We start from the raw sequence: 15,268 nt of genomic DNA, 5'->3' as shown, positions 1-15,268 counted from the left end.
GAAGTAGGACTGCTGGATCATATGGTAATTCTGTTTTTAGAGTTTTGGGAAACTTCCATTCTATTTTCCATAAAGGCTGCACTAATTTACATTCCCATCAACAGTGTACAAGGGTTCCCTTTCCTCCACATTTTCACCCACACCCATTGTCTTTGGTCTTTTTGATTATAGCCCTTCTAACAGTGTAAGGTGACATCTCATTATGCTTTTAATTTGTATTTCCCTGATGATATGTGATGCTGAGCATTTTTGCTGGTCATTTTTATGTCTTCTTTTGAGAAGTATCTGTTCAGGTCCTTTGCCCATTTATAAATTTCTTCTTTTGCTTTTTTGCTGTTGAGTCGTGTGCCTTTAATTTTTGCACTTTACGTTGTGAGTTTTATTTTCCATGCTTGTTCTTTGCTTCTTTATTCTCTTCTTTTCTTGCCTTCTATTGAGTTGATTGTGTTTTCTTTATTCCCTTCCCCCTGTCTACTAGTTTGGGAATTATATATACTAGCAAAGAGATACCCTTAAATTTTTAAAATAAATACTTACCAAAGCCTAAGTTCCATCAATTATCTATCTTTCTTACTTATGAAATTGAGAAAGGCCGTTCACTCCATGTCGCTACCTCTACCTAATAACTTAAAATTTTTTATTTGTCTAATATTTTATTTCCACCTTTTTTTTTTTTTTTTGAGTCTTGCTCTGTTGCCCAGGCTGGAGTGCAGTGGCATGATCTCGGCTTACTGCAACCTCTGCCTCCTGGGTTCAAGCAATTCTCCTGTCTCAGCCTCCCAAGTAGCTGGGACTACAGGCGCACACCACCATGTCTGACTAATTTTTGTATTTTTAGTAGAGACAGGGTTTCTCCATATTGGTCAGGTCGGTCTCGAACTCCTCACCTCAGGTAATCCACCTGCCTTGGCCTTCCAAAGTTCTGGGATTACAGGCCTGAGCCACCACGCCCAGCCTCCATCTTGTTTTATAATTCCCTAAAGTTAATTGTTGTTAAATCAGGAGAGAAGTATTTTATGTAACATTTCTGTTTATCAGCCCAGCCCACCAACTGGAGTGCCCTGATTCCATAAGTTTGGCAAGTCACTTACCTTCTCTGGCTTTCCATTTCTGGTCACAGCTGGGAGAGGCTCTGAAGATCATCTAGCAAAGGAGCTCCCTCACTTTGCCTGTTTCTAGGCACTGAAAAGTACAGGCCACAAATATATTCAGTAAAATAAATCACTTGAGAAATTCAAACAGGCTAGAGGAGATATCCGCTATCATAGGAGATCGGGCAGAAAAGTTTCTTAAACATAAGAGTGAAATGACCTAAACTGAATTTCAATGAGATAAACAGCAGTTTACTAAGACAGGGCAACCCCACAGGGTGCTGTTTGGTCAGAATTGGCCCGAGGAGGTGAGACCCTGACCTACGAAGGCAGCAGGTGTCCGGGAAGCATGGTTAGCAGCAAGAGCTAGGGGAGGTGGCCGCCGATTACATAGAAGAAAGGAGGCAGGCAGGCGCTGATCCCAGGGGTTCTGGTAGAGGGGCAGGGAAACTACCGTTATTGGTCCTTCATGCAAACTTTAGGATTTTCATCCATGTGTGTATTGCTTGAAGATGCTGCATTGCAGAAAGTCTTCAACTTCTCCCATGACCGAGGCAGGTCTGATGAGAGTGCAAACAGTTAGTACTCGCCCAGCTGCGCGCCGAGGCCTCCTCCAGAATCCAGACCGCATCCCCGAAAGCCCGCCCTGCCCCGCACTTAGGCCCCGCCCCAACACGCCCGTCCCGATAACGAGGCTCCGCCCCCAAGAGCTCGCCCGCGCTCCCCCAGAGGAAACGGAAGTCGTATCTGTCCGGACGGAAGCAGGAAGCGGGAGCGTAGGGCCACGCCTGCGGCGCTGCTGGTTGAGGCTGTGTGGGTCGGGGACGGGCCGAGGCGATGGCGGAGAAGTTTGACCACCTAGAGGAGCACCTGGAGAAGTTCGTGGAGAACATTCGGCAGCTCGGCATCATCGTCAGTGACTTCCAGCCCAGCAGCCAGGCCGGGCTCAACCAAAAGCTGTGAGTGGCGGCCCGAGGCTGCCGGGGTCTCCCCAGGGCCTGGCCGGGAAGCGTGTGCTAGGGGAGCGGGGATCTAGGGAGCCCGAGCCGAGCCTGACCGCTACTCGTGCCCCGCCAGCCCTCTGGTCTGGTCCCGGAGCCCGGGGCGCCTTTCCTGGCTGTGTTCAGAGGGCGGGGCCCGCGCTCCAGCCTGTTGCCAAGAGCCAACCTCTTTGAGGCCCCTTTGGAGACGTCGTCATGGCCAGATGATATACTTTACGTTTCCCTATCAAGGGAATCATGCTTTCTCTTCTAGCGTCTCCCCTCTCATGTGTAACCCCCTCCCAGCCTTTTCCTCCTGGAGCCCTTCTGGGAATTCAGTCCCTGTCTCCAGAGGGGAGGCAGGCTCCACAGTGAGTGCACGCCCTAAACTAGGCCTCAGAAGGTGAGGCTCCGAAGCCACCTGCCGCATAGGCCTGACAGTGGAGGAAATAGCGGGGAGGTGGTGCTGAGAAAGGTTGCAGAACGTTTATTATTATTATTTCTTGGCAACAGCCTTGTGCTGCCCATGTTGCTAGGCCCTGGGTTGGAGAAAAGGCAAATGCAAGTACAGCACTTTCGAGAAGGGCTTTATATGTGGCACGGACATAGAAAATGTTGCACTCGAGGTTCCATACCTAGTGCTGTGGGAATAGCCAGACCAGCCTGATGCTGTAGGAAGGCTCCAGAGAGGAGAGGAAGCTAAACCAGACAGTATGGCTTTCTTTCCCTCAGACTTTGAGTATAGTCCGCTGCCTCATGTGTTCGCTGAAACCGCACACACAGTCATATGCACAGTCAGGTAATTGTTTTTGAGAGAAGGTTCATATTTTTCATCAGGTTCCCTCTCCATCCCCCTTACTGGCAATTTCTAGTTGAGAAGGAAAGTAACAAATATTTAAGGGTATTTTGTAACTCTAACGGTGTCCTAGGAATCCTGTAGCTAACCAAAGAGGTCAGAACCGTGTGTAACCCGCATAGCTGTGAGGAGAACGAACTTGCGTGGAGCCCCGGTTGGCTGGGTAGCTCTGTGGGTGGTGCTTATGCTGTCAAGCGAAATTAACCAGATGCCTGTGTGTTTGCCTTTCCCCCAGGAATTTTATTGTTACTGGCTTACAGGATATTGACAAGTGCAGACAGCAGCTTCATGATATTACTGTACCGTTAGAAGTTTTTGAGTAAGTAACATTCTTGATATTAGTCTTGGGTATAAATCTTGTTCAGTTATGGTGTGGTATCGTGACTTCTTCATCACTGGCATTCGAGTGCCTGCTGTGTGGTAGGCACAGCCTGGGTGCTGGGGATGTGCCAGTGGAAAAAAAAATAGACAAAAATACAAAAATACCTGCCCTTATGGAACTTCCGTTCTAATGGCATTACAAAACGAAAAAAAAGAATATCCTTAATATTCTATTGTGGAAAAAAAGTTACATGTAAATAAAAGCTTATTAAATATATGAAATACATCATAGGTCCTCAAAGCCCTGCTTAGGCTAAAGAACAGCCACAAAACTTTCTTTTTTCCTTAAGAGGTGAAAAGTCCTATGAGGGCTATATTGTAAATTTTTAAAAAATGGCAGCCAGAAGCACCTGAAAAGCAAGCTGGTCTGATGTTCCCAAACTGCCCGTGGAGTGCTAGTTCTGAGAGGTGAAAATATCTGCTCTGTCGAAGGAGGAAAGAAAGGGTTCTTATTCCAAGTATGTTTGGGGAGGCTGCTCACTGTTTTCTGTGCGAGAGTTGTGTGCACCTATGTTAGTAATAGTCCTGAGAACACATACAGGAATGAGCTTTTAGATTTTTAAAATCCAGGTTTTCTTGCATTGATTTGGTCACATCTCTGATTTCACACATGAAGGACCTGATAAGTAACTGCAATAGGTTGTTTACCTAGTAAGTGTCAGAGTTAAGACGAAACCCCCGGACTCATACTTTCTTGACCAGTGCAAAGCAGCCTCTCCCTGATGGTGCTGGCTTGGAACAGCAAGAACATTCTAGTATTTCTTGCAGCAAAACTGCAAATGTAAATCACTAGATTTCGTTAAGCAGTAAAGGGAAAGAGTTATGGCTGTTTTCCATCCCAAAAGGTCAGAGATACAAGTTCTAGCTATAGTGCAGCAGCTGCCTACAAAGACAGGACACAGAGGTGGTTTTCTTGGTCTCTGATCTTCTGTTCACCTGCTGATGACTTTGCCCCATGTTCCTTACCTGTGCTCAGTGGGCACCACTGAGGTCTCTGACTTCAGGTGGGACGAAGGTCTTGCACCTCAGGTAGCTCCAGACTCAGCTTTGGCTTTCTCAGTCCAGGAATACAGAGCATCCTCCTTTGTGCTCTTCTGATTATGAATGCAGGGGATGCATATAGTGACAAGTGGCAAGTAACTACTTGTGTCTTCTGAAGCAGAACAAATGGAGACTGATGTGAACAGACTGCTTAAGGGCCGAGGGAAGTGCTGGGCACGGGGATGGATGAGATTGACCTGGGGTATCAGGAAGAGTATGCCAGTGAGCCCTAATACAGAGCAGATGCTGGGAGTTTATCTGCAAATCGGTGGTTGGTGTCTACCCAATGTAGAAGGAATTTCCAGGTCCCAGTGGCCTTTGCAGCGTGTACATTTTCATACACACCAACTGTGTCTTTAGCTAAGGTGAAAGCAGCTTGGCCCTTGTCTCCAGGACTTTGTGTGTGGGCAGGAGTGGGTTCACCCTTCGGTCTTCAAAGAACCAAGTCTGAGCAGGATGTCCATGCTGTTGAAGAAACGACCGTCAGCTGACATGGTTAACCTTATTCTGTGAGCCTGTCAGGTTTTTCTTGAGAAATGGATAGATTTTGTTTAGAATTAACCATAATTTTGCCACATTACATTATTTCAAAAACACTGAAATGAAATAGAATTTCTAGAACTTGTGATGTTTTTATCTTTTGCTATCTATCAAGGCTACTTTTTATACCATTAGTAGTAACCTAATGATATCTTGTTCTGAAGTGATTATATATTTTTGGCCTCAATTATAAAATTCGAAAGTAGAGTTAGTTTTCAGTTTTTGTTTTTTGTTTTTTAAATAATGAATGATTCAGTTTAGTTGAATGATAAGGATTTCTTTAGGGTACAGAAAAAGGTAGGTGGCCTGCTCTTGGTAAAATATAGGTATTGATCTAGGCAGTATGTTTAATTAAATCTTCAGGATACTGAAGATAATTTCTGGGGGAAGTGTCAGAAATTCTAAGTAACAGTTTTATACTGTTTAGAAATAATTGGCCAGAATGTCTCTGTTATATTTAAGTTACCTAGGTGTATTTAGTAAAGTGGTATATCAAGCCGCCTCTTCTTTTTAAAGCAGTGGAATGGTTTGTAAAAGGATCTTGGGGTCGTCAGGGCTGGGGCTCTTGTGCTTGTAGTTCTCCTTTCCTTTCCCCTGAAGCTCCTCCACAGAGGAGGAGGGGCTTTGCCAAGCAGCAGGGCTGACCTAGAATGGAGGCTGCATCGTGGAAGGATCCGCCTATGTCACCCAGGCCCGAACCCCTGGATCTCATTTAGTTTTTTCTTTTGTCAAGAGTTGCCTTACCATACAAGCTGCTGTAAGGATCAAAAAGGTAATAAATAGCATGAACGAATTTTGAAAAGTGCAAATGCTAAACACATGTAAAGTGGTATGGCTTGTGAAGCGTGCTTGGGTTTATCAGTGATCATTACTTGATTTTATGAGCTGTTCGTATTATCAGAAGTAATGAAATCAGATGATCTGTACTTGTGTAAATGAGGGAATATTAATTCCCCTGGTTCCTACACTGAGTTTTGTCTAAACAAGGCCGTGTGCAGTTATATATACCTAACCTTTATTCCCCCATACCTTTCAGAAAGCTGTGAGAATAGGTGTCAGTCATGAGAATGCTAATTGAAATATATCGTGTTTCCAGATATATAGATCAAGGTCGAAATCCCCAGCTCTACACCAAAGAGTGCCTGGAGAGGGCTCTAGCTAAAAATGAGCAAGTTAAAGGCAAGATCGACACCATGAAGGTAAGACTCTAAGGAGTGTCAGAAATACAGTGGGAAGAGATGCCTTCTCAGTGGAATTTGGTTAAGAGACTCATTTTTTTCCATACTTGCTAGAATATTGACTTTCATAACTTCACATATTGAGATTTCTGAATTGTGTAATAGGCAGTAAGTAAAATTAGATATCAGCTGCGTAATAGCATAAAAAACATACACTAATCTTACTCTTAAGGAAATCCAGAGTAATTTTTGTGATAGTAGTTCTCACTGGCTGTGATCATTTTCATTTTTTTAAGATGCACTTTTATTGCATTGATACTTTCTATTTCTGTAGTAATTCCTACTGTTGAAGGCTTTCCCTGTAGTCATGGTTCTTTGTTTTAGAGGATTCTTGAATATTGATTTTTCTCTTTGTCCAGCTTCTGACCTCCAAACTTCTTTTTACCATATCCATTGTCATGAAATTCCCCAGATCACTTAGTTTTTCTTTGCCTTGATGAGATGTAGAGAACTCTCTGCACTTGAACATGAAATATGTAATTTTTTCTTAAATTGACTCAAATGTAGTTCAAATTGGTGTTTTGTTTCTTTATTTGGACTTAACGGCCACTCATTTCTGTTGGCGCCATGCGACTGTTGCCGTGTGCAGCAGGGACCTCTGCCTTCCTCTCCTCCCAGCTCACAATAGGTGCCTCTTCCTCCTCCCGGCCATCCACGCCGGCCTGGTTTTCGGTTCTGGAATACATCCAACCCTTTCGTTCGTGTTCTTTTCTCCTGTCATCTTCTCCGCCTGGAGCTCTTCCATGTTCTCTTTGCACAAGCGACTCTATCCTTCCAGTTTCAGATGATTTCACCTCCTCAAAGAGGCCTTTGGGACCAGCCTTTTCTAAAGCTTTCCTTGAGAATGCTGGTCAAGATTTACCTTTTAATTTTGTTTTTTCTGTTTGTTCTGTCTCCTCTGCCGGCTGCTTGAGCTCCAGGATCACAGAGGACATGAGTGTTCTGTTCCCACTGATGCCTGGTGCCAGACTGGGACACGTGTGCTCAGCCATGGCTAATGTGCGCAGGCAGGGATGGTCACACAGTGGCCTCTTGGCGCTCTGGCCGAGTGGGAGGAGCAAGGGGAGGAGCTGTCAGAAGGAGACCTGCCTAGTCACAGGCAGGTCACAGGGCTTCCAGAATCCCATTCAGGTGATCCCCTCCTGGTGGTAAACAGCACACCTCAGAAGTGGTGTTTTGTCATAGTTGTTCTTATGGCTCCCACAGCCTCATCTCTGTTTTGTCCATTTGGGATTGAGGAGTTGTTGAGTCCAGCGTCACCTTCAGAGCCAGTGCACTCCTTATCAATAGTGAGGGCCGCTCGTTTTGATTGTTCCGTTTCGCTTGATAAAGCTGAGTGAGAATTATATTGGCCAACAGAAACGTCTCTCTCCATGTGAACACAGCCACTGGGTCACCAGGGACGTGGCTTACAGTTCCAGCAGGCTCCTGTCACACTGGTGCCTTTGGGCAGTACAGAACTGTGCTGCTGGTGGTGACGTCCGGGGCTGTGCAGTGTCGCTTCCTTTTGCATATGTTGCTATTGGTGTCATTTCCTCTCTGAGATCAGTGGAAGTCTCAGGTCAGTCCCGTGGCCCTGTATTGCTTAGTGGGCCATGTGTTTAAACTTCCAAAAGGCATATTTTAAATAGTTATTGGAGTGTTGATGTGAAGAGCTCCTTTGATAATGTATTTTCTTTGTAGAAATTTAAAAGCCTGTTGATTCAAGAACTTTCTAAAGTATTTCCGGAAGACATGGCTAAGTATCGAAGCATCCGGGGGGAGGATCACCCGCCTTCTTAACCAGCTCACCCTCCCTGTGTGAAGATCCCCTGGGACTGCGATGCGGCGTGAGGCTGGGACTGCGAGTGCTGACGCCACCTTCCTGCTGAGGTGGGACTGGGCCCTGGACACACCCCTCAGCCCCTCTGTCCTCATTGTTTGGCCTCATGGGACCGAGGGGCTGGAGGAGAGGCGGAGCTGTGCCCCAGCTGTTCCAGCAGCTTGTCTGGCGTCAACTGGCTTTCAGAGTGCTGACCCCTCATCACTGTGGGGATCATTCTCTCTGAGGGCAGATGAGGCGCAGGAAAATAGTCTTGGAAATGTTAAATATGATGGGTAAATTAAAAGTTTTACAACATTCTACCTAATATTTTTCTTTTAACATACTCTTTCTGTTCTATTGTATTATGGTGTCCGAAAGCTAAATAACGACTAGGAAAAATTTTTTTAAAAAAAGAAAAATCAGTTTAATGTGGGAAGTACTTAAGTGGTATTATATTTTACATTTTCAAGTATAGTGCATAAAGAATGTTTTAAATGTAACTGTTTTCATGGATTTCAATTAGACATGCCTATAATAAACTAAGTATGTGGCTTATTCCATGTAATTATTTTTGTAATATAATACAATGTGTCTTGTAAACAGTTAATTATTACTTTCCCAGAGGGTTGGTAATATTCATAAGAAAATTTGTTTTCCAGGCATTTAGGCAGGAAAAGCTAAAGCAAAATGCAGAACTCCAATTTTTTCTACAAACCTTTCCTAGCGGCTATAGTACACCAATTTATTGACACTCTGGAAAGACGCCCGGCAGGGCTGTTTCAGCTTCAGTGTGCTTACAGATCCTGAGGGGATTCTGTGAACCTGCAGGTTCGGATTCACACGTCCGTTGGGCCTTGCAAACTGCATTTTTCATGAACTGCAGGTGGTGCTGTTTCTGTGATCTGTGGGCCACCCTTGGAGTTGAGGCCCTAGTGCGGCCTGTGCGGAGGTTGACCTATAGACCCCTGTGTCCGAATGGCCTGGGCAGGCTTGTTATTAAGGTAGGGCCCCAGTTCAGACGTGTTGAGCCTCAGGCTTTAGGATGGGCCCTGGGAATCTGTGTTAATTTGCCTCCTACGAGCGATCCTGAACCAGCCTCGATCCTAGCCAGGGCTGCCGGAATAAAACACCACATTCTGGGTGGTTTGAACAACAAACATGTATTTTCCCACAGTTCTGGAGGCTGGAAGTACAAGCTCACGGTGCCTGCAGAGTGGGTTTCTCCCGAGGCCTCCCTGGCTTGCAGACCTGCTTACTTTGACCTCACGTGGTCGTTCCTCTGTGTGTGTCACAGCCCTGGTGTCTCTTCTGTGTGTCCTAACCTCTTTAGAATCTAAGAACAGCAGTTAGATGGTATTAGGACCCACCCGAAGGACCCATTTTTAACTTACTTCTTTGAAGAACCTGTCTCCAAATACAGTTGCATTCTCAGGTCCTGAGGTTAGGGCTTTGACACTGGAGTTTTGGAGGGATGCAACTCAGTCCAGAATACTCCCCAGGAGGGTCGTATTTACCAAGAGTCAGGGGCCAGGCCCCTTAGGAAGCTGGTCCCTCGCTAGCAGTTCTGTTCTCTCCAAAACAGCACCAGAAAAGGACTCCTACTGCTACCAAGGGGAAGAATTTCTGCTAGAGTAGAGGAGGCCCCTGCTGGCAGGTTCGGGTGCCTGAATCGCTGTTCCGCCTTGTTTTTCTGGCATCAGGATGCTGACTATTGGCTGCTGCACGAGGGCCATGTGGGCACGCGGCTCGCTGGGCTCTTCCCACACACTTCACCTGCATCAACTCACCTGGCCCTCACCAGCCCTGTGAGGTCCGGCTTTCTTTATATTACTGATGTTGAAGCTGGGGCACCAGGGCTTAACGTGCCCGAAGCCCTGCAGCTTCGCCTCCCTCTGTGCTGGTTCTGGGTGGGTCCAAAGTGTCCACAGTCCCCTCTTCCTGGGCTCTGAAACATGGAGGATGTGCCGGCAGTAGGGGCTGTTCTACATATCCTGGGACTGAGTTAATCGGGTGGCCTCAAGCTGTTTTAATCTTGATGTCTGAGCCTTGGGAAGAGAGGGTGACTGTCAGCTAGAGATGCGTATCTGGTAGCCCACAGCATGACAAGTCTGCTGACCTAGGCCCAGCAGGGGCGGTGTAGCTGTCACACATTATTCTGGAATATTCACCAGTCTTTTTTTGAGTAAAAGTTTGGGTATATGGATGCACTGCCTTGGAACTCCTAACTTTCATCAGTGTGTCTGATGACACCACCACAGTGGGTCCCCAGGCAATGAAGAGGTGTTGGAGCCCCTCGACACTGTGACAGGCCACATGCCCCTTAATTCCACCCCACCTGCCATTACTGTTAGTCACAAGTGCCCATCACTTTCAAATCTCCTGAAATGCTGAGGAATCTACTTAGCTCGGAATTGATGTCAGTGTGAGAGGACTGGAGGGTTCCAGGCCGCGTTTGACACTCGGCGAGGCATGCTGTGACTGTCACTGACACTGCCTTCCAGAGCTCTCCACCCGGAGGAGCTTGGGTTCAGGTGCACACACCTGGCTGGCCCTTCATCCCTTCTTCTCAAAGACCTCATTTTGGTTAAAAGAATGATTGCGAGAGTCATCCTGGGACGGTATCAGCCATTTCGATCAGCTGCTTCACATCACCCCTGCCCATTGCCACCCAGTTCGTTCCAATCCCTGCTTTGCTTCTGACCTCTTCTTCCCCACCCCTTTCTTCCTGCAGACACAGATCGGGCAAACAGCCCCAGGGCCTACTGATTTTTGTTATGCCCAAGGACACCGCTGAACCACCACGAGGCAGGTATGGACTCAAACAGGGCCTGAGCCTGTGTCACTGTTCTAGATAATCTGTGCTGCCTCTGTGGGTCAGAATGAAAAAGCGAAAATTAAGCCCCACCTTTACACAGAACTAGAACATTCTTTATCTTTTTGGGTGTACAATCAGAAGGGTTCATTACAGAAAACTGAAAAATAGAGCTACAAAAATCTCCACATTTCTGCCCAAATTGTTACTATTGTGATTTTCATCCATCTAGATGTTCTCCTCTTGCACAGATGTGCACACACACTGAACAACTAGATGTGGAATTATTACTATGCACATGAGTTGGTAACCTTTATTCTTTTAACAGGATGCCATGAAATCTGGGCAACTCAAACTTCCTCTCACATAATTTTAATATTTAGCGTTCCATTAATGTGCTAACAGCAGATGTGTTGTTATTTACATGCTGGACACAGGTTAAGCACTTTCCATGCATTGCCTCAATTCCCACAGTAAATCGGTGAGGTTTACAGATGAGGGACCTGAGGCGCCTGCTCAGGTCACCCAGCTAACGAATGGGAGAGCTGGGCCTGTGCCTGCCACGTCACAAGACTGTGGCTCTCCTGGGCTTAGTTTATCAGCTCCCATTGGGTACCTGTGTGCTTCCCAGTTCTTCACTAATATGAAGTTATTATCTTTGACCATACATCTTCCACTTGTTCAATTGTTATTTAGGGTAAATTCCTGGAAGTTGAGCTGTTGGAGTTACACTTGATTAGGATTGTGATACCATCTGTCTCTATTGTGCTCAAGTCCTGAAATAACCAGGTGTTAGGTACAAGGGGAAGCGCTCATCTTTGGGGAGTATCAGTAATGTCACTGAGTAGTTTATCAGTTTTCTGTGTTCTTTTTTTATTTCCATTTTTTGAATCCTATCAAATATATATGAGTGCCTCATTAAAATATTTCTACAGTCAGTGACAATACAGGTGCTGGCTACAAACGAGGTCACATGTTTACCCTGTATAGCCAGGTGAGCCTGCTGTGTTTCCTGCCACTCACCTGCACAGAAGTGACCCATCTGTCCAAGTGACAGAGGTGCCATTGCCCCAAGGGAGTTCGACAATATACAGTCCTTGGTTCTGTCAAGACTCAGGTGACGTTAGGTGGCAGGTGTACCACTTCTTAAACTTTTTAAATGTATCACAAACCTAAGAAGTTACAAAGGAAAAGATCGATACATTTGGCTGTATAGCTGTTAGAAAAAAATAAATAACATAAGGCTAAAAACACCATAAACTCAAAAGGCAAAAAAGCTAAGAAAGTTCTTTTTTTTTTTTTTTTTTTTAAAAATAGAGACAGGGACTCACTCTGGCCCAGGTTGGAGTGCAGTGGCACAATCATAGCTCACTGTAATCTTAAATTCCTGGGCTCAAGGGATCCTCCCACCTCAGCCTCCTGAGTAGCTGGGACTATAGGTGTGCACTACCATGCCCAGCTAATGTTTTTTATTTTCATTTGTAAAGATCAGGTTTCACTATATTGCCCAGGCTAGTCTCAATCTCCTGGCCTCAAGTGGTCCTCCCTCCTTGGCCTCCCAAAATGCTGAGATTATAAGTGTGAGCCACTGAGCCCAGTTGTAATACTTATTATACATATCACAAGGAACTTCATGACTACTATGCAGAGCTCTTTCACAAATAAGAAAACCCAGCAGAAGAATAGGCAGGTGTTAATTTTTACATTATATAAATTTTACATTATATAAATTTTACATTATATTCAAGCAATAACTTGAATGTCCATTAATAATGGCTTAGATAAATCGTGCTTTATCCATTTGCTGGATAACTGTGCTATGACTAACATGAATGAAGGAATGAAGATCTGTATGTATTGATACAGAAAGACGGACAAATACATAATTACAAAACACGTTGATTCAGTCAACATTAGCTGAGGGTCGGCCTTGTCCAAGCTCCATCTGAATGAGTTTCTCCAAGGCAGACTTCTGCCTACTCGTGGCAGAACCACCAAGGAGCTTATTAAAATGCTGAATCCAGACCCCATTCCAACCAGCACAGCTTCCGGAGAGCCCTCTCTTTCCTTGACTTCTAAACAGCATGCTCCAGCAGAGGTTCAGGTTTGGGTTCCTCGAGGCATCTTTCCTTACCCACCCTCTCCCTGGACAAGCTCATCTATTCCCTGGCACCGGTTACCATCCTGTGCTGAGATTCCAGGTTTATAGCCCAGCCTAAATGAGTCCTACACTTCTGTAACCCAACTTCCATTTTTTTCCCCCTCTGCTATTCCCCAGGAACCTCCAACTCAGTGTCTCTAAAATTACACAGATACGTTTCCTACCCAAGTCTCCCTCTGTGTCTGCCTCAGAAAGTGGCATGAACTTTCAGCTGGTCATATCATCTTTGCCTCCTTTCTGTCCCTCCCTCTTCCCCTGCCCTGGTATCATTGCCATCACTAAGTCTCCTAAATACCCCATTTCCTTGCTTTTATTTATTTATTTTCACTCCAGTCATACTCGTATTTCATCCTCTCAGTCCACCACACCTCCACATAACTCACCTCTTTCCTGGCTCACCTGTGCGCATCTTTCAGGTTGCAGTGTAAAAGTCATTTCTGTTATCTCACCTTCTCTGACACCTCAGACCAGTGCTGGTCTGTTTGTCAAACTCTCCTTTGACATCCAATAAGTATCAAAGGTAGCTCTCAGAGTTACAGAGGAAGTATCTGACCTTCAAGACTGTCATCTCCTTAAGAGTCTGGACCACACCAGCCTCGTCCACTACTATACCCTGGACTTATCACAGTGACTGAGACGTAATGGGTACATATCAATTGTTAAACGAATGAGCAAACTGATGTATGCATTTGGCCTCAAATTCTATAACACAAGTAAGTCTGGGTGTTTAAAGAACCAGCAGCAGTGTTTGTCTTCTTCTTTGTACCAAAAGATTCTCTTCTGTGTTTTTGGAAGAAAAATAACTAAATGACACAAAAAGAAAACAAATGACATGACTTGGTGATAAGGAAGAAATACTGTGGGTGGCAGTGGGAGTCACACAGCTGAGAAAGCCAGAATTTTTGCAGATGGCCCTGGCATACACGCGCTTCAGCAGAACTGCGGGAGTGCAGATCCTCTGAGGGTAGGACGGGCTGCAGTGTGTGGGACCACCAGGCCATGGGGCAGGAGAGGTGTGTGCATAGGTCGCTGCCGGCAGGAGGCATGGGGAGAATTTCTGTGTCCCCAGCAGTGTGGCAGGAAGCCCCTGAGGACGCTCTGCCAGAGGAAGACTTGAACTTCCTCATTTCCCAGGTGGAGGTCAGTGCCCCCTTCCTGAGCTGGTAAGTACAGGTTCTCCACGGAAGACACAGACAGAAGCTCCAGCTTGTCATTTATACACATACAGTTTCAAAGCCACACACATACTGGGCTGTTTGTTTTTGGTAAGTGCACGGCAAACACAGAGTTGGGATGCACGTGCCCGTGTAATTTTAAACACATTGGAAAGATAGAGGAGGCCAGTTCTAATTTGAGGACTGTCTAGCTGCAGTGATTTATCGTACACAGACCTGAAGCATCACCACACTGCCGTGTTGGCACAGATGCAGATGGCATCGTTCTCACTGGTTTTTGGAGACTAGAGCCCTCTGAAGTATGAATACCCTGCTTACAAGCAGGCCGAATGGCATAGCGGTTGCATCACCAAGCTGATTGCTAAGCCAGGTGTTTTGTAGGCAGAACATTATTATTTTGAATAAACTCAATAGCAACTTTTTAGTATCAACATAAACCCAGCCTTTCAGGGGCTGGCTGACTGGCCATGGGCGTGTGGCTGGTCAGGGAGGGGCTGGGTGTCCAGCAGCATCCTGTGACTCACAGCCCTGTGCTCCATCCACTTTGATACTGGAAGGCTTGCACGCACCATGTGTACTCAAATGCTGAAGCTGAGACTTAAAAAAAGATTCCTCCAAAACAGTCATGAAGTCTACGTGGTTTGAGGTGCCCAAGCTGACCCATCTGGGGGTGTTCCCTTACCTGGGTGGACACAGCTGGGGACCCAGCTCCTCCATCCCTCTCTGGAGCCCTGTCAAAGCCCAGGTCTGCTAGACAGTGTCCCTGCGGTTGCCCCGATGATCCTGCCGTTTGAGGCTTGGCCTCATCACAGGGCTTGGCTCTGGAGGCAGATGTAGCAGCTTCGATGGCGCCACTGCAGAGGGCAGTGCCAGCTGCCATTGTCCTCGGGAGCCCAAGACCAGCATCTCCAACTCTGTGGAGAGACCCTGGAGCTGTTCCACAGTAAGAGGTGTTGATCACTGACTCTGGATCGGGCACTGTGCGCAGGTTTGAGGGATGGTACCTCGTTTATCCCCAGACCCATTCCACTCACAGAGGGGAGCCAGGGTCCCGAACAGGGAAGGGACATCTCCGGGGTCACACATGCAGTAGGCCAACTGCAGCCTGGATTTTGCTGGGAGGAGGCGTCTGCTGCTCAGACTGCCTTTGGTCATTCCATCAGAGAGAATGTGCTAGAGGTGGAGGGCA

General features: G+C 46.2%; 1 protein-coding gene across 1 annotated transcript, besides 3 other annotated features; it reads left to right on the top strand.

The window, feature by feature from the left end:
* Positions 1,411–1,630: an enhancer, noted in NCBI's record as "active region_22330". NCBI's record gives its function as "activates an Ori minimal core promoter by ATAC-STARR-seq in GM12878 lymphoblastoid cells {active_cell/tissue: GM12878}" and the evidence as "EXISTENCE:reporter gene assay evidence [ECO:0000049][PMID:35858748]".
* Positions 1,865–8,538, top strand: MED10 (mediator complex subunit 10). The gene is made up of 4 exons (NM_032286.3): positions 1,865–2,050; positions 3,163–3,246; positions 5,986–6,088; positions 7,811–8,538. Exons 1-4 carry the CDS (start codon positions 1,929–1,931, stop codon positions 7,907–7,909), a joined length of 408 nt encoding a protein of 135 aa, NP_115662.2. The 5' UTR covers positions 1,865–1,928; the 3' UTR covers positions 7,910–8,538.
* Positions 1,921–2,130: an enhancer, noted in NCBI's record as "active region_22329". NCBI's record gives its function as "activates an Ori minimal core promoter by ATAC-STARR-seq in GM12878 lymphoblastoid cells {active_cell/tissue: GM12878}" and the evidence as "EXISTENCE:reporter gene assay evidence [ECO:0000049][PMID:35858748]".
* Positions 12,828–12,995: a silencer, noted in NCBI's record as "fragment chr5:6367530-6367697 (GRCh37/hg19 assembly coordinates)". NCBI's record gives its function as "represses an EF-1alpha promoter that drives an FKBP-Casp9 reporter gene in an ReSE screen in HepG2 liver carcinoma cells {active_cell/tissue: HepG2}" and the evidence as "EXISTENCE:reporter gene assay evidence [ECO:0000049][PMID:32094911]".

Source organism: Homo sapiens, chromosome 5 (genome assembly GCF_000001405.40).
Source record: "Homo sapiens chromosome 5, GRCh38.p14 Primary Assembly".
Classification (NCBI taxonomy): domain Eukaryota; kingdom Metazoa; phylum Chordata; class Mammalia; order Primates; family Hominidae; genus Homo; species Homo sapiens.
This window is presented reverse-complemented; position numbering and strand designations above follow the sequence as displayed.

What these genes read in the sequence shown, in the direction of transcription:
- MED10 (NM_032286.3), top strand. Translation starts at nt 1,929, where the DNA reads ATGGCGGAGAAGTTTGACCACCTAGAGGAGCACCTGGAGAAGTTCGTG. An exon ending in GCCGGGCTCAACCAAAAGCT is followed by an intron (nt 2,051 to 3,162) that starts GTGAGTGGCGGC and finishes CCTTTCCCCCAG; the next exon opens with GAATTTTATTGTTACTGGCT. An exon ending in GTACCGTTAGAAGTTTTTGA is followed by an intron (nt 3,247 to 5,985) that starts GTAAGTAACATT and finishes TCGTGTTTCCAG; the next exon opens with ATATATAGATCAAGGTCGAA.